Consider the following 19,001-nt stretch of genomic DNA (forward strand, 5'->3'; position numbering starts at 1 on the left):
ATTCACTTATCACCAACATATCCAAAGCTGTCATGAAATCCTATGAGAAAATTATCTTATTCCTTCCTCAAAAGAAGTCATCCCATATTTCCATCAAGTCGGGTTTTCCTTGTTTTGGGATCTAAAACAACATAGCATGTCCTGCTTACATGGGGGCTAATCTCAATGTCTCTTGATTCTGAGTTATAACAATGACTTAGCAGCCCCCAGCTCTGAGAAAAATCAAGAAAAGTTTCACATACTCCTAAACACTCCAACGAACAGATTAAACACAGAGGAAAAACTTCAATCCAAAGCCTTGCCATTCCGCACATACAAGTCAAAGCAGGCAGCTGTGGACATTTGATGAGTCTATGCAAAGTCCTTATTCACCCGTTGAACCCCTAACTTCAGGTGTTAATTGTCTTAGTGGGAAAATGGGCTCAAGTCCTATTAGAATCCATCAACCTTGCACAGAGTAAGCATCTTCACTGATTGACTTAATTTTTAAAAATCCATCAGCTTCCTTTCAATCATTCCCTAAGTTCAATGAAAGCCATTACAATTTTAAATTAGACTAAAATAGCTGCTGCTTTACCAAAATGTATAAATGATTCCTTCATCAAAAAAGTACACTAGAAATGTTAATTTCAAGTTTCAGTAGGGCAGATAATAGCAATTGCACAGGTACTTTAGATAAAAATTTCGAGCTACGCTGATTCAGTTCTCATTGGAAAGAACCTAAGGTCAATAGAGTAAAAGTTTTAAGAAGGAAAATGGTATCACATTCAGAAAGTTATGTTAAATTCTTTCAAAAGTTTAATCATAGATTTGAGAAAAGTCTCGACAGAGAATAGGGGAGAGTTTTAAGAAAGAAATGCTGTTTGTTTTCTGCATCTATAAAACAGTTCTGAGCTTCGTTTTATCATAAAAGGTTAAGGGTATAAACATGCTCTTGAGTTACTCAATCACAGTCTAATAAATTTTATGAAAACAAATTGGTATCTGAAAGACATTATTGGATCAAATAAAGTTTTAATCGCAGTAATAAAGAAGATGAAATGTATCATTTTCTCGAAATATTTCCAAGCTCACAAAGTTCACACTCACACTTAAAGGTCTTCCCTGAGGTTCTCATTTTCATCTGAAAAAAATAATCCTCATTACATAAAACAATCTCACCTTATCTGCTCAGCAATTTAAGGAAGTAACTATTTATCATGATGTTAGTATCCACCCTAGGTCTTCCAATTTCTTTCCTCTTCTCAACAGTAATTCCTAGGAAATTTACAAACATGCTCCGTATTTTAATGCCTCCCTGTAGAAAGCAAAATGTCTCTGCAAACAGCACAGAGAAGTGTCTAAACAGACTCACCTTTGAATCATCATGTTTTTGAAGGTACAGCTTTCTTTTGACAGCACTGCTGTGGTTTATTTTTCAAAAGGGAGCACCTGCCTGTTGTTCCATATTCAAGTAAGATTAGAGTATCCTGTTCTTATCATCAGTTCAGAAAACTTCACCATTCTGGGTGTGTACATAGAAAGAATTGACATCTGTAGCTTTGTCTGGCTTGCCAGGCACTCTGAAGTTTTCTTTTCAATACTAACAATTGTGAAATAATACTGCTTTCCCTTGTTTTGTTCTGTTTTGTTTTTTTTTTTGTTTCTTTTTTTTTTCATTTCCAGCTGTTCAGACACTACGGGAGCCCTGGCATCACCCTCAAAGGAAATCCTTTAGAGAACAAGGCTTCTCATAGATGTCAACTGGCAACCATTCCAATAATCAACTGCCTTGCTACCATACAATTCTAGCCCAAGCAGAGGCCTGCCAAGTGCCCTGTGATTCTAAAGGAAATACGAAAAAGTGTTCTTTTGAAAGTGAAGTGTCTGCCCCAATTTATCCAACTTTGCTGCTAAGGTACACTCTGACATGAAGACTGTGCAGAAACATGTAAACACATTTATGATACTAGCTTCAGTGACCACAGCAGACTATCACTGATATGTATCCTGGCCTGGCGTGGTGGCTCACGCCTGTAATCCTAGCCCTTTGGGAGGCCGAGGCAGGTGGATTGCCTCAGCTCAGGAGTTAGGGACCAACCTGGGCAACATGGCAAAACCCTGTCTCTACTAAAAATACAAAAAAAAAAAAATTAGCCGGGCATGGTGGTGCACGCCTGTAGTCCCAGCTACTTGGGAGGCTGAGGCACTAGAATTGCTTGAACCCAGGAGGTGGTGGTTGCAGTGAGCCAAGATTGCGCCACTGTATTCTACCCTGGGTGACAGAGTGTGACCCTGTCTCAAAAAATAAAAATAAAAAACAAATGATACGTATCCTAATTGTCATGCACGTGGACAGGGATTAAGAGGCAAAAAAATATATATATAGGAGTAGATGTGCAACGCTTTAGGCTTCTGGGTGGTTTACACCACTCCACCTCACCCAAATATGACTTAATATGTTACTTTTTTTTTCAGTTAAAAAAAGTGTAAAAAAGAAACTTTATCTAGAAAGATGAGTGACCCTATTTGGAGAGGTGCAGAGTACCCAGATCAGAGTTGGAATTTAATTTTTCTGGTTTAGGCTTAGATTGGAAACAGTCATAAGACAGCAACTTCAGAACATTCTGCTGCCCACACCACACAGGGACACGGAAAGTAATAGAATTTAACGTTTGGCAAAGTCTTTTCTCTCTCTCTCTTTCTTTCTCTCTCTCTCTCTTTGTGAGATGGAGTCTCATTTTGTTGCCCAGGCTGGAGTGCAGTGGCATGATCTCGGCTCACTGCAACCTCCACCTCCCGGGTTCAAGCGATTCTCCTGCCTCAGCCTCCCGAGTAGCTGGGATTACAGGTGCCTGCCAACACGCTCCTGTAATTTTTGTATTTTTAGTAGAGACGGGGTTTCACCACGTTGGCCAGGCTGGTCTCGAACTCCTGGCCTCACGTGATCTTCCCGCCTTGGCCTCCCAAAGTGCTAGGATTATAGGCATGAGCCACCACACCCCGCCATAGCAAAGCCATTTCTTAAAGACAGTGCAAACATCTTGAGTCAAAAAAAAAAAAAAAAGAAAAAAAGAAAAGAAAACCAAATATGTCTTACTGAGAATAGTTGCTCTTTGAATTCAAAAAAAAGTCAACCCTATTTGCATGTATTGCTTCCTATCACCCTTTTCTCAACATACCACCTTTCTTTCCTCTGTGTCTTTTTGGTTTAGCCACTTGTTGATGTCCTCTGTCTCCCTTTTCTTTCTTGCCCTTTGCAAAATAATTTCTTCTTCCTTCTTTCTTTCTTTTTTTTTTTTTTTTGAGCCAGTGTCTCCCTCTGTCACTCAGGCTGGAGTGAAGTGGCACGATCATGGCTCACTGCAACTTCTGCCTCCTGAGTTCATGCGATTCTCCTGCCTCAGCCTCCCGAGTAGCTGGGATTATAGGCACCCGCCACCATGCCAGGCTAATTTTTTGCATTTTTGGTAGAGATGGGGTTTCACCATGTTGGCCAGGCTGGTCTCGAACTCCTGACCTCAGGTGATCCACCCGCCTTGGCCTCCCAAAATGATGCAATTACAGGTGTGAGCCACCGCACCTGGCCTGCAAAATAATTTCTATGCCATGGTATATGCCTGTGCAGGAGGAGCTGAGAAGAAAGAATCCTAGTTCCACTGTTTAGAATGTTTTTGTTTCATTTGGGTTTTTATTTATTTTTTTGAGAAAGGGTCTTGCTCTGTTGTCCAGGCTGGTGTGCAATGGTGTGATCTTGGCTCACTGCAGCCTCAACCTCCTGGGCTCAATTGATCCTCCTGCCTTGGCCTCCCAGACAAGCACTGGAATTACAGGAGTGATCCAACATGACCAGCTTACCTCATCTTTTTAAGCCTTGTTCCTTGTCTGTACAAGAGGGATAAAATAGCGTCTACCTCTTAGGAATCCTGCAATGATTAAATTAAGTAATGTTTGGAAATTTCTTAGTGCTGTACCTGGTACGAAGTATATACTCATCATAACGTTAGCTGTTAATTATTATCAGTTGTATGGTTTTGGAAATAATATGTGTTGAACCCATAGTCCTTGTAGGACAGGAGGTAGATACTATCAGGCTTACTTTATTTTATTTATTTTATTTGTTTTATTTTATTTTATTTTATTTTATTTTATTTTATTTTATTTTATTTTATTTATTTTTATAGACAGGGTTTTGCTCTGTCTCCTAGGCTGGAGTGCGTTGGTGCTATCATAGCTCACTGCAGCTTCAACCTCCCAGGCTCAAGCGATCCTCCCACCTCAGCCTCCTGAGTATCTGGGACTACAGGCACACACCACCATGCCCAGCTAACTGTGTTTATTTTTTGTAGAGACACGTCTCACTATGTAAATTCTTGGACTCCAGTGACCCTCCCCACCTTAGCCTCCCAAAGTGCTGGGATTACAAGCATGAGCCACCGTGCCTGGCCTAGAGCATTTTTATAGAAATGTAATGCAGTTGTGCAAATTGATCCTGAACCCAGAAAAAAACATGTGTTTTTTAAAACAAAAAGTAAAAAAATAGTCAATTGACACCTGTATTCTCTTAGTTTCCTGAGGCTAATTTACACTGAAACTATTTCAGGGAAGACACTGTGGGGCGGGGCTGAGGGAAGGTACGGTGAGGGAGGAGAGCTGTTTAGTGAGATGTTCACAGGCCTGCCAAAACATTTTTTTAGTCTAGTTACCAATTGCCTACTCGTTGACATCCCCGTGAAAAGCAAGCCACCACGTTGTTTCTGATATTCATTTTTGAGACAATAAATTTACAAGACATTAAAATCAGCAATATTAATGACTCACTAGAATTGCACAAAACAAACAACCTTCCAAGATATGCTTCAGTTAGGAAAATTACCAATACTCCCCAAACCACCTGAAATGCTATCCTTTAAAACTTAGTCATCAGACAGAAAATTTAGATTTCAAAAGCCAAGGCCCTACCAGTGACTTACCGCTGACAGCACGTCTTCCCCGAGCACAGTCCCTTAAACCACAGGACACCCTGAGGATGTCGGATGCGGGACAGCAGCCCCTCATGATCTGACCTCTGACCCAGGCTGTTGTGTGGCTCAGAAGGAAATTCCAAGGCCATGACTACAACTTCCCGGCACAAGTCATTGTTGGTGCTCCCGGGTACTGGGTCACCTCAAGAGACACATCCTTCTCTCCACTTCAGTTTCCTTCACAGAAAAGTGAAGACTCAAAGTCCAATCTAGGTACCCAAACATTGCAAGACCACAAAATCTCAATCATCATAAAGCACATCACAGCCAGGAGGAGATGAATGAATGTCACGCAGTTACAGCAACCTCAAGAAATTTACGGGAAATACACACATGGAAAGAAAGGACTTCAGGCAATTTAAAATCTGTTAAAACATTAATCCCTGCCCTGTAATCCCAGCGCTTTGGGAGGCCGAGGTGGGCAGATCACTTGAGGTCAAGATCAGCTTGGCCAACATGGTGAAACCTCTTCTCTACTAAAAATACAAAAATTAGCTAGGTATGTTGGCACCTGTAATCCCAACTACTGGGGAGGATGAGGCAGGAGAATCACTTGAACCTGGGAGGCGGAGGTTGCAGTGAGCTGAGATCCAGCCATTGCACTCCAGCCTGGGCAACAGAGTGAAACTCTGTCTCAAAAAACAAACAATCAAAAAAATTAGATACATACAGATAGTGTAATGGTTACTACAGTGGAGTCAGTTAATATGTCTATCATCTCACATGGTTACTTTTTTTGTGGGACTAGAGCAGCTAAAATCTATTTATGTAACAAAAAACCCTAACACAATACAATTTTAACTTTAGTCCTCATGTTGTACATTACATCTCTAGACTTGTTCATCCTCCTTATCTACTGTGGTTCTGTATGTATCTACACATCTATGGGTATCCAATAGCGTTATGATGTAAACTTCAAATATACACAATCATATTTTTTGTTTGTTTTTTTGTTTTATGTTTTTGAAACAGGGTCTCACTCCGTGGTCCCAGCTGGAGTTCAGTGGCATGATCACAGCTCACTGCAACCTCTGCCTTCCTGGGGCTCAAGAGATTCTCCCACCTCAGCCTCCCAAGTAGCTGGGATTACAGACGCAAATCTCCACACAGGGTTAATTTTTGTATTTTTTGTAGATATGGGGACTCGCCATGTTGTCCAGGCTGCTCTTGAACTCCTGGGCTCAAGTGATCTTCCCACCACAGCCTCCCAAAGTTCTGGGATTACAGATGTGAGCCACCACTTTCAGCCCATATAGATATATATGTAATATATATAAAATAATATATATTATATATTATTATAATGTATATGATATAATTATGATATATAATACATAATAAATATATAATATATAATATAATATATAATAAATATATATAATATAATATATAATAAATAACATATAATATAATATATAATAAATAACATATAATATAATATATAATATATAATATAATATGATATATAATAAATATATAATATAATATATAATAAATAATACATAATATAATATATAATATATAATAAATAATACATAATATAATATATAATGTAATATATAATAAATAATATATAATATACAATAAATAATATATATAATATAATATATAATAAATAATATATATATAATAAATACTATATATGTTTATTAATTCACCTATCTGGGCATGGTGGCTCACCCCTGTAATCCCAGCTACCTAGGAGGCTAAGGCAGAAGGATTGCTTGAGCCCAGGAGTTCGAGACCAGCCTGGGCAACATAGTGAGACCCCATCTCAAAAATAAAATTCATCAATTCCCTGTCCACACTTCACTTATACCAGGGAAATAACACTTATTACAAAAGTGGGCAAGTGGGATCTACCCAAAACCTTTAAAGGCCAAAGGTTGATTGTAATTTTTTAATAAAATTTTTAATACAAATTTTTATTTTATAAAAATTTTATATAACCATTTTTATTATCATTGTAATATGATTTTTATGATAACTTTTCCCTCTGGTTTATCTCAAGCTTACTTTTGTTCGGTTCTCAAGTGATACCATATTGAAGTAAGATGACGATGGAAGGAAAGGAGACACAGGCATGAGACACCAGAAGCCTCATTCAGAGAGGATGACCTTGTTCCTATTTTGCTCTATGACCTCTGGCAAACGATTCCACCTGTCTTTATTGTGACTCTCCTGGATTTAAAAAAACATACGCAGGTGTGGCCAGGCACGGCGGCTCACTACTGTAATGCCAGCACTTTGGGAAGCAGAGGCAGGAGGATCATTTGAGCTCAGGAGTTTGAGACCTGCCTGGGCAACATGGCAAAACCCAAAAACAACAATATGAAAATTAGCAGGGCATGGCGGTGTGTGCCTATAGTCCCAGCTACTCGGGAGGCTGAGGTGGGAGGATTGCCTGAGCCCAAGAGGCAGAAGTTGCAGTGAACTGAGATCAGGCCACTGCACTCCCGCCTGGGCAACCGAGTGAGATCCTGTCTCAAAAAACAAAAAACAAAACACATGCAGGTGTGTCCTTCAGGTTCTTGGTGGCTGGATACAGCTGCAGCTTATACACCAGATGGAAGTTATTAAGTGAGTGGCTCTATTAGAAACAAATTAACATGACAATATTGATGTAATAGAAAATGGAAATAGCAATGCATTCTTCAAAGCTCAACCCTCTGCGGGTTTGCACTTCAAGTCATAACCCGGGCTGGCGTTTTACTTGCGGATCTTTGGAAAGCTCATCCTAGGGACGCTGCTGCTGCTGCTCATGCAGCAAAAGGAAATTCGGTTTTCTCTGATCATGCAAAAGAGAAGTCCGGGTGTGGGGACCCAGCGGTCTATGTGATTCAAGCCACAAGTCCTCCAGGCCGAGCAATGAACCATCTCCACATGAATGCTACAGGGCAGCGTGTCAGAAAACATTAATAATCAGTCTCTGGGCCTAAAGTGTAGACGATGAGGCGTGGACCCAGGCAGGTAAGAGGCTGGTACAACAGGAAGCTCTCCTGAGGGCGTTATGGCATCTCGCTGAAGAGGAACTCCTACCCACAGCTCAGTTGTGTGATGTGGGGAGGTGGGTGCACTTTCCACCTTCCAACCAAACAAGCTACTGGCGTGAATGATGGACAGGTGCGACAGATGTGGAAGGCCAAGATTCCGCTGGGGCGGGTCCACAATCACCCTCCTCACGCCTGGCAGCCAACGCTCTGACTACAATGACAAGGGCAGATGGACGCTGAAAGACGCAATGGCATGGGCCCCAGAATTAGGTCCTGCACCATGGACACCATACTGGGGAGCACAGGGCAGAAGCCGCTCACAGGTGGCGGGCAGGTGTACAAAGAACTCCAGGCTCCTGGGGGGCAGCAGCGCTTTCTGGGTGACATCCAACTAGCTGGACCCCTAAAATTTGGAGGAACCTGTTTCCTCCTAGGTTCTGCCACTGTTAGAGTGTTTTCTGAAAACGGGATTTTCTTTACCTCCATTTCGAGTACATTATCAGGATTTTAACCCACTATTCTACCGGAAATACACACAATTAGGAAGATTTATTCACAAGCCCTCATTTACAACACAACTGCAGGTTTTACTTTTCATCCAAGCCTGGAAACACGGATATCTTTGGTTCTGCAACTGGAGCAACCGGAGTCTCTGAAGAGCTACAGAGCCTTAATCCTACTGAGCACTGGATTGTATTATTATTATTAATCATTATTATTAGGAGAGGGGCTGGGGAAGGGAATAGAGCCTAATCCTTACAAAGGAAAGGGAGCTGGGAATCTGGATCAGAGAGGGAGTGCTGTGCAGTCTGAACAGAGGCAGAGGCTAATGGGAACAGAGATGGGTGGCAGAGAGCAGCCCTTGGGCAGATCTGGACAGAGGCCTGAAGGCCCCAGAGGCCAGTCCTGCTGTGGGTGCAGAGTGAGATTCTTCCTTCTTTACATATTGCTGCTAGCATCTGTGAAAGACGACTGTCTGAACATGGATAACAGGCTCTCTGACATCGGCCTCACCTCACCAGATCCCTTTTTTTCAAATACTCTCCTTCCCATCGCTCCTCTCAGTTTCAAGAGTGGGCCACCTGGGACTTTTAGAGTCTGTTCCTCCAAGGACCATCCTCTCCCTTGCCGTGGGGCCTGGCCCATGCTGTTACCTTTGCTTGGAGGCACATTTTTCACTCAAAGTCCAAAGCCCATCGCTGTGGTCTCCTCTACGCCATGCATTCAGCCCGGTGCTGGGGACACAGGTGACCCAAGGAGCCGTGGTCCTGTTTCTTGCTGATTACTGGCTTGAGAGAAAGATGCCACACACCTTCTCCTCCTGAGAGGCAGGTCCACAGCACTATCTGGCAGCTACCCTGGGCTGTCACGCTCCGTCCTCCCCTCCCCTCCCCTCCTGCTAGGACACCTAACATCAAGACCGTGCTGGGTTGCCGCCACTGCCATCATGCCAGCTCCTGGGTCTCAGTGAGGCTGAGGACACTCCAGAACGGGAGGCAAGCCCATGTGGGAGATGACTGGACCCATCTTCATTCAACGTTCAGTTATTGAGTTCTATAACAATAGAACTCAACTCAGCACAATTTACATTGACATATCACGCCTTAGGCGGGAAGGAGAGCAGCTCGAGGGGAAAGCTGCCATTGTGAAGAAGCCATCCAGCCTTCTGTTCCACAAAATCCAGCATAGCATCATGGTGCAGGACCGTCAGCCCACACCAGCTAACTGCATCCTCAGCATGCTTGTGAGCCAGCCAAATGCCAATGAAGACCCCATTATGGGGCTCCACCAGATGTTCCTATGAAAGGACATAATGGATGCTTGGGTTCGCCCTGATGACAGACATGTTCAGGCCTGCCCTGCACGACTTCACTGACCTCCTCCCAGCCAGGCACTCACGCTGTTTCTTTCTCCCTCCTCTTCCCAATACTATTCACGCTTCTGCAGACACACCAGATACTATACACAAATGCACGGGGCTGTGTGGGGGCGGACACGGTGCACTGTTGCCACCAAGGTGTCCTGCATGATGTCTGGACACCGGACCAGCGGCCTCTGACAGGAAGAGTTTGTGTTGTGACAGTGCATGCCTTGGAATGGTTGTTCCTTTTTAAAAAAAATCTGACAAGTTGCTCTAGTAACCCAAAGAAGTGAAGGAGAAACCAGCTACCCCACTGGACAGATACTGATTTGTGCAGAATCCGTTTCAATGCCTCATGAAACAATAAAACCACGAACATCTTCCTTAAAAAAATAAAGACCACCTCACCTTCCCCTTCCCCAGGTTTAGCTTTGTACAAAAGACTGAGGAAGCCGCTGACTCTGCCGGGTTCTCCCTGCTCTGCCACTCCAGGCCTTCTCCAGACCTGGCCTGCAGAGAAGGGCACGGGGGACAGCCAGGGGGCTCTAAACAGCTGTTAGATCCTCTTGCATCTCGCAGACTCAGTGGACTGCTGGGGATGCCAAGCGTGGGAAGGAGGCTCCAGGCACACATCCCACTCCTGTCCTCCAGCTACCTGGGGACCCAGAGGTCTGAGCCACACACTGTGCCTCCCTTGCTACCCTCCCTGAGCCACACCGCCGGGGCTTACGGTGGGTCAGAGCCAGGCTCCAGAGCTCGGCCACCCGGGGCTGTGGCTTATCCTGGCTTCACCACTTCCTAGCTGAGTGTGATCCTCCAGAAGTTACTTCACCAACGTGGCCTCCTTCCGTAATCTATAAAACAGAGATGACAGCAATTCCTACCTCGTAGAGTTGTGATGAGGAACGCTGCACATAAAAAGTGCAGAACGCTGAATGCTGAACCACTGACTGCCGCCTACACACAGTGGAGTCAGGCCCTGATCTGATTTGCTGCTCCCTGCTCCTATAGGAAGGCCCGGGGGCGCTGCAGGTCTCTGTCCCCTCATGCCAGGTCTCCTGTGGCTCTGGATGGGTGAGGAGGCTAATTCTGGGCAGGTGGCATTGGGATGGCTGTCTTCAGGGACTGAGCAAGTGCCAGGCCTTCACAAAATGAAGCTCTGGGGGCACTGGTCATTTGTTGAGGAGGGTACTTCGTTCAGACAGGACGCTTAGAAGCCCAGCTCTTTTTCCCAGTAACTGGTTCCCAGGGCCATCCTGTGGCACCCGCACTCATTACGTTGAGAGCAGATGTAAGAAATACAGGAGCTGGCCTAAGAAAGGAGGTTTAGGAATACCCATGCACGATGTGTGGGAAAATGTCCAGGTTCTTACGCATGCACGTAATTCTTATTCACAGCACATGCGTTCACGCAGACGTTCTGCAAGGGCAGCTGGGAGAGGTGTAAACCCCAAAGAAACAGAACATGCAAGAAGTGGCCAGAAAGTACACACCTACCTAACATCCAACTGTTCCCTGGGGGAACAGTGAGGAAAGATGGAAAATAACACCTGTTCTTTGCCACATGGAGCTCTGGCTTCAGTATGAGTGACAGAGGTTGTTTATATTTTTGTCTGTTCGTTTGTTTGTTTGGAGTAGAATGAGAGGCTTTTTTCAAAGGGAAAGGCAAGTATCTACCTTTTCTTTTGTTTTGATGACTGTACTTGGAATTTTTAGAGTAGAAAAGGATAGTTAGATGGAGCCTGGGCACAGTGACTCACAGCACTTTGGGAGGCGGAGGGGGGCAGATCAGCTGAGGCCAGGAGTTCAAGACCAGCCCAGCCAACACGGTGAAACGTCATCTCTACTACAAATACAAAAATTAGCCGGGCATGGTGGTGAACGCCTATAGTCCTAGCTACTTGGGAGGCTGAGGCAGAAGAATCACTTGAACCCAGGAGGTGGAAGTTGCAGTGAGCCTAGATCACACCACTGCACTCCAGCATGGGTGAAAAGAGAGAGACACTGTCTCAAAAAAAATAAAATAAAATAAAAAAATAAAAGAATAGTTAGATGGAGACCCCAGACAGACAGTTTTTAAAAGCCTAGAAAAAAAGATAAGGCTGAAAAAAAAAAAAGATAAGTTTGACTCTCTGGATCTAAAAAAATATAGTTCATATGGGATGGTGACTTTAAACGTAAAATTTTGATCACATGATAAAATTAAATGAGGAAGTGAAGATTGAGACATGAAGAACACAGGATGTGTGCTGGAGAACTCGCAAAGGAGACTAGATTGTAGTAGAACAAAGTGTGTATGAGGAATATTTCCAGCATTTTTCGTGCACTACAAGTTTACAGGGAGAGAGTTGGAAAGCTGACACTGACATTTATTTATTTAAATTAGTTAATTTATTTTTGAGACGGAGTCTCGCTCTTTCGCCCAGGCTGGAGTGCAATGGTACGATCTCAGCTCACTGCAACCTCTGTCTCCCAGGTTCAAGTGATTCTTGTGCCTCAGCCTCCCGAGCAGCTGAGATTACAGGCACCAGCCACCATGCCCCACTAATTTTTGTATTTTTAGTAGAGATGGAGTTTCACCATGTTGGCCAGGCTGGTCTCCAACTCCTGACCTCTGGTGATCTGTCCACCTTGGCCTCCCAAAGTGCTGAGATTACAGGCTGAGCCACCGTACCTAGTCATGACACTGATATTTAAAACAAGGAAAGTCTAAGGACAATAAAAGAACCTTTAAAGATATGTTCAAAGCAAGAAGAGCAAGGAAGGGAATGGAAATATTGTTTGAAGCAAGTAGATGCTGGTTGGGTGTGGTGGTTCATGCCTGTAATCCCAGCACTTTGGGAGGCCGAGGCAGATGGATCACCAGAGGTCAGGAGTTGAGACCAGCCTGGCCAACATGGTGAAACCTCGTCTCTACTAAAAATACAAAAATTAGCTGGGCTTGTTGGCACACGTCTGTAGTCTCGGCTGCTTGGGAGGCTGAGGCAGGAGAATCGCTTGAACCTGCCAGGCGCAGGTTGTGGTGAGCCGAGATTGCACGACTGCACTCCAGCCTGGGTGACAGAGTGAGACACTGTCTCAAAAAAAAAAAAAAAAAAAAAAAGAGGAATTGCTGAACAATTCAGCTTCTGTTTGTTTCACTCTTCTCAATCAAGAGGGAAATGAAAGGAATATAAATGAACTGCACTCTCTCCCCAAAATAAATCCCAGGTAGTTTATAAAGTTAAATTTTAAAACCAGGTAGATGATTATTTACCATGTTTCTCTAAGCCTAAAAGCAATGAATGAGCCAAAAAGGAAAAAACTATGGATTTGACTACCATAAAGATCATTCTAAACAATAAATTATACTCCACAAGGCCCCATAAGCAAAAGTAAAAAGTTAATGTAAATTTCAGGAAGGTATTGTAACAACTATAATGGGAATTACTATATTAAAGATAAAATCATTTAGTTAGTAGATAATTACAACTTAATTAGAAGACCACTAACACCTTCCAGGAAATAGAATGCAAACAGCTAAAAAGTCCAGATCCTTGGACTCTGTCATTTCTCTTCTAGGAATTTTCCCCATCGAAACAAGAGAAATAGAATAAAGAATTATTCACAGTAATGTTCACCACAATGTGTTCACTCAAGTGCTTATAGCATCTTTATTATGTGCCAGGGATCTTATTAGGTATATAATGATGAATGTGATTTTGCTCCTATACTTAAGGAACTTCTATGTTCTGTAGAGGAAATACCCAAGTTAACAGGCTGTTGCAGAGTGATCAGTGTGACTACAGGGGTGAGTATAAGATGCTATGGGATGGGGACGGGGGGACACCCTAACTCACACCTGGTGGATCCGTCAATACCCCAGGGAAGGAGTGATATCTGCAGAACACAGCAACATGAGGTAAGAAGGGATGAAATGGGAGAGAACATAGAATGTTCTGGAAATGTCACCCAGGCAAAGAGCTGAAGGACACCGTGGCGGATGAGAAGGAAGCAGTGAGAAATACAGCTGGACACCGTCTTTATGAAAACAAAGAAGGGGGAGCTAATCGTCTGAGTGAGGATGGCTAAATCGCTTGAAATAGGAAATAGCCACTGAGCACTGTTTTCAAGTCAATTTCATCATGAGGCCAAAATGAGGGGAGTCTGGAGACAGGGCTGCAACAGCAAGATCCACAAGCACTTGGAAAACTGCAAAGTGATATTAAAGTAGAACTTGTCTTCCTCAATCCATGTATTTCCCCCCAGTGATTTGTAAAGGGACATAGCAGGCATGCATATCAGATTTACAGAGGGCAAAGAGGTTCGGATGGTAGCTTCAAATGTCAAAGTTGGGGTCATATTGTTTACAGTTTTGTGTCGTACTCTTCACGCACGTGCTAGAAGCCCAGCATCGGAATAAGGGAATTAAGAGGTGCCCTGCATTCTACTGTGGTTAAACTGCTTCTGGAAATCTGTATTCAATTGTGGGTACCATATTTTATACAAGAAAATGAAAGAAATGGGAGAGAGACCAAAGAAGGATAACTAGACCGGGTGAAGGTCCAGAAACCAGTACTTCCCAGGACTGAGGGAAAAGCTGCATCGGTGGCCTACATATCACAAGCTCTAGTGGTAGCGTGACCATACAACCTACTGGCCATACCAGATACTTGTGAGGCAAAAGGGAGGCTATTATTGATTATATAGAGAGAACAGGTATAAACTAGGACTGTCCTGGGCTTACCCAAATGGGGGTTCGGGGGAACTTGCTAATCTGATGTGTATAAAGTGAAGGTGGGTTAACTTTGCTTTGGTGGGCAAAAAATAGACCCAATGAGGGGAAATTCCAGAAGATACATTCGGATTCAATGGAAGGAAGAACTTTTGAACAAGCATCATTGCTCAAAATGGAATGGGTTGCCCCGTTATCACTGCAAATCATCAGGAAGGGACCAGAGACTTTAGCAAGGGAAGTTGTAGAAAGGATTACAGAACTCAGGGACAGACGGACTCTAAGATCCCTTCCCTTCCTCTCCAATAAGTTGTGATGTATAAGGCATGGATATATAGGCACAGCTAGAAACAAAGAGTTCCAAGAAAATATATTCATTCTGATAGCTGATGTATTTACTTGTGATGTTTCCTTGGTACAATATTACATGTGGTTTGGTGAAACAAATTTTTACAACGTTCACTCAGTGCTTCAGAAAGCTTACAAAAATTTTAGTACAGACTGATAGGCACAAACGCATTTTTCTACTTTTTGATGCTACCAATTTTTCTCATATAAATGTGTGGTCGAACATCCCCTATTTAAAATGTAATTCTGTGCAGAAGAGTTACCGGCATCTGTTGCTGGTTTGGTAGAGAATTCACGTGCTCAGTAACCAAGAACCTTAATAACACTTTCTGGTAACATGAATTTGCCTACTTTGTTTCAGTGTCCAGTTTAATCTGTCGTTTTAAATGAAATTTTAAAAAAATTTTGCTTATGTTGTGATCAATGGAAGGAGACACAGTATTATTTACAACTATGGGTCTTATTATACAATAAGTTTTCACAGTTGTAAACATTTTATTGATACTAAAACAATAATACGTGTGATTAAAATAGAATGATGTGACTGCCATAATAGGCACACAATAAATATTTTATATGAATAATAAATATATATTTAAATAGCATATATCTTTATATATATAATTTCAAGGGCAATTATGTAATATAGGTACTATATAAATTAATTTGCATTCAGTGAAATATGTTTTAATTTGCCTATTCTGTAGAAATATGCCCCAAAAGCCAGTCTCAGGAACACATGCATTATTTGTCATTCACATACCTATGTGACAAGCAGAATCAATGTGGATCTGCCCTCAGTGATGGGTGAAGCCACATAGATAAGAGTTGGGGAATGGGCTCTCCTTGTCATAAACAATCTTCTTTGTATACTACTATAGTCATAATCTCCATTGCCTCCCAGGGAGGTGTGGAGCAGAAAATAGTATTCTAGACCACCTGCAAGTTTTCCAAATTCCACCCTTGGGTCTTTGGTGGCTCTTGACATACAGTAGGAAAATGGCCACCTATGAGGTTAGTATGTCCTGCCAGGCCACCTGCTTTGCTAAACCTGTGTTGGATACAAAGCACTCCTGTACTAAGTGCCTAAATCCAAGGTCCACATGCTCAGATGCCAAGTCCTGCCACGTTTAGCAGGAAGCACTCCACACCGACAGCTGACTCCAGTGACACCCTTAAATCAGATCAAACCTCTAGTGGCATCGGAGCAAGACACATCTGAGAAACAGGGACGCTCGAGAACTAGAGAACCACCAGTCCTACACGGAGGTCCCAGTTCCATGAGGTCAAAAAGAAGTCCCCAACCCTCCCCATTCCAATACAGAGCTGCAGGGAGAGCTTGGGGACCCGTAGTGCTTCCATAGGGGGAAGTTTCCACAGTGACTTTGACATCCACACGGAGCAGTCCATCTGGGCTAGAGGCTACCGCCTTTCTGTTTACATAACCAAGTACTTTGGAAAGGGTTCTGCTGGAATGTCGCTGGCAGGGACTTCTTGGTCTTGCATGAGCTGTGCTGGCAGATCCCTCCTTCCATTCTTCCTGGGGGAGGTTTTGACACTGGCTGGCTGCCCCATGAACCATCCCAGACACTTCATGGAGATCTGCCCCTGGGCGCCTGGTCCAGTGTCAGGAGCTCCCAGGAGGGGATAAGTCCTAGAGCTGCTCCCCATGTAAGCCTGGGCATGGAAGGTCAGGCCTGAGAGGGGTGGAAAGAGCGAGGGAGAGGACTCCCAAACCCAAAAGTCTCCCCACCCCCATCCTCATCAAGCCTCTTGGTGGAAATGCTGTCACAGACAGTAACGTAGCACCTTACAGTGCAATGGCCCCGGCAAACGAGAGTCTAAATATATCCAGGGTGCATATCATTAGTGAGCAGTTACAGAAATAAAGATGTTATGTTGTATCTGTTAGTCAAATCAAAAATTCTAATTGGACACAGAACAATTTCTCAAAGCTTTCAGCAGGAGGTAATTACTGTGTTGACTACTTGTAGCAAAAAAAAAAAAAAAAAAAAAGCTGAAATAGAGCCTAGTGTTTGGGCTGTTTCCATGAAAGAAGGAAGGAGAGAGATGTTTTTGCCTGGATCTGAGCTGCTTAAAAGCTGGCTGGGCTCCTGATCTTTGCACTTTCCTGGTTTAACCAGTGACACTGCTGCAAGCAGCTCACCATGTCACACCAAACCCTTTGATAACCAAAGTGCAGTGTATTTTTAGCAAAACCTTCAGAAAAGACCTGGAAATAAAGCCAGGCATGGTGGCTCACACCTGTAATCCCAGCACTTTGGGAGGCCGAGGCGGGCAGATCACCTGAGGTTAGGAGTTTGAAACCAGCCTGGCTAACATGGCAAAACGTTGTCTCTACTAAAAATACAAAAATTAGCCAGGCATGCTGGTGAGCACCTGTAATCCCAGCTACTCGGGAGGCTGAGGCAGAAGAATCACTTGAACCCGGGAGGCGGAGGTTGCAGTGAGCCGAGATCACGCTACTGCACTCCAGCCTGGGCGACACAGCGAGACTCCATCACAAAACATAGAAAGAAAAGAAAGAGAGAGAGAGAGAGAAAGAGAGAAGGAGAGAAAGAGAGAGGGAGGGAGGGAAGGAAGGAAGGAAGGAAGGAAGGAAGGAACCTGGAAATGAGTCTGTGACTAGATAATAGTATTGGAAAGCCAGAATTTTAAATCAGGACAGACAGATGAGGCAGGGACAGTGATGACATTTTATATCCTTCCTCATGTCTAGTCCTGAGCATCACACAAATGATTGACTAAAAGTATAAAAGTACAGAGTTACAATTCCTGATTGTGGTGATGGTTTCCCAGGTATAGTCACATATCAAGACATATCCAACAGTATATTTTAAATAAGCATAGTTTATTGTATGTCAATGATATATTAATAAATCTATTTAAATATGAGATTTAGCACTTTGTGAGGCCAAGGCTGGAGGATTGCTTGAAGCCAAGAGTTTGAGACCAGCCTGGGCAACACAGTGAGACCCCATCTCTAAAAAAAAATACAAAAATTAGCCGGGTGTGGTGGTAATCCCAGTGCTTTGGCCTGGAGTTCAAAACCAGCCTAGGCAACACAGCAAGACCCCATCTCTCAAAAACAAACAAAAAAAATCTTTTAAAAAACGTAGCCAGGCATGGAGACATGGGCCTGTAGTCCCTGGTACTCAGGAGGCTGAGGTGGGAGAATCACTTGAGCCCAGGAGTTTGAGTCTGCAGTGAGCCATGATGGCACCATTGTACTCCATCCTGGGCAGCAGGGTGATACCCCATCTCCCCACAAATAAATAAAATAAAATAAAAGAGAGACATTTCTTCCAAGTTATCAAAAAGACACCATCAGGAGCATGACATTGAGGATTCAATTTGTACAATGGCACATCTCAACAGAACTTTTCACACAATGAGGAATTCTTTTCTTTCCTTCCTCTTCCTCCTCCTTCTTCTTTCTCTTCCTTTTCCTGCTCCTCCTCTTCCTCCCTTCTCCCTTCTCCCTCCTCCTCTCCCTTCTCCCCCCTCCCCCTCCCCCTCCTTCCCCTTCTTCCTCCTCCTCCTCCCTTCCTCCTCCTCCTCCTCCTCCTTCTTCTTCTTCTTGAGATGGGTCTCACTATTTGACCCAGGCTGCTCTCAAACTCCTGGCCTCAAGCGATTCTCCTACCTCAGCCTCCCAAGTTGCTGGGATTACAGGTGTGAGCCACCACGCTTGGCTGTTTTTCATACATTATATTCTTATTATTTGAAGTTTGGTGCTTATGCATTTTCCCAGATGTCATCATACTCAGTTCTGAACCCTGGAGTTGGCAGTCTTTTGTGCTTTAAGCATCGTTTGTACATGGGTGAGCTTCAACTCTGTGTCTCCACTGTGGTGTCCCCTGACCCAGGTTTGTAGAGAATTATGCTCAAAACTGCCCTCTCCACACCTCACTTGGTCCCTTGTTAAACATCCCAAGCTCAGCGAGTCCCAGACGGAATTCCTGATCTCACTTTTCCCCAGATCACAGCTTCCCCTCCCAGGTAATGGTAGCTCTGCCTCGTCATCTCCATTTTGTGCTCTTTTGGCCCCAAATTCTGGA

General features: G+C 43.5%; 1 protein-coding gene and 1 pseudogene across 3 annotated transcripts in view, besides 1 other annotated feature; one reads left to right on the forward strand and one right to left on the reverse strand.

Annotated features, from left to right (window-relative positions):
* The window catches only part of FRMD4A (FERM domain containing 4A), a 687,219-nt gene that overhangs the window by 217,603 nt on the left and 450,615 nt on the right, over positions 1-19,001 (reverse strand). The window lies entirely within an intron of this gene.
* NUTF2P5 (nuclear transport factor 2 pseudogene 5) lies at positions 9,489-9,867 on the forward strand (annotated as a pseudogene).
* Positions 9,490-10,143: an enhancer, noted in NCBI's record as "H3K27ac-H3K4me1 hESC enhancer chr10:13912798-13913451 (GRCh37/hg19 assembly coordinates)". NCBI's record gives its function as "activates a minimal SCP1, AML or CMV promoter by ChIP-STARR-seq in naive H9 embryonic stem cells {active_cell/tissue: H9 hESC(naive)}" and the evidence as "EXISTENCE:reporter gene assay evidence [ECO:0000049][PMID:30033119]".

The sequence above is a fragment of the Homo sapiens genome, chromosome 10 (genome assembly GCF_000001405.40).
Source record: "Homo sapiens chromosome 10, GRCh38.p14 Primary Assembly".
Taxonomy (NCBI): domain Eukaryota; kingdom Metazoa; phylum Chordata; class Mammalia; order Primates; family Hominidae; genus Homo; species Homo sapiens.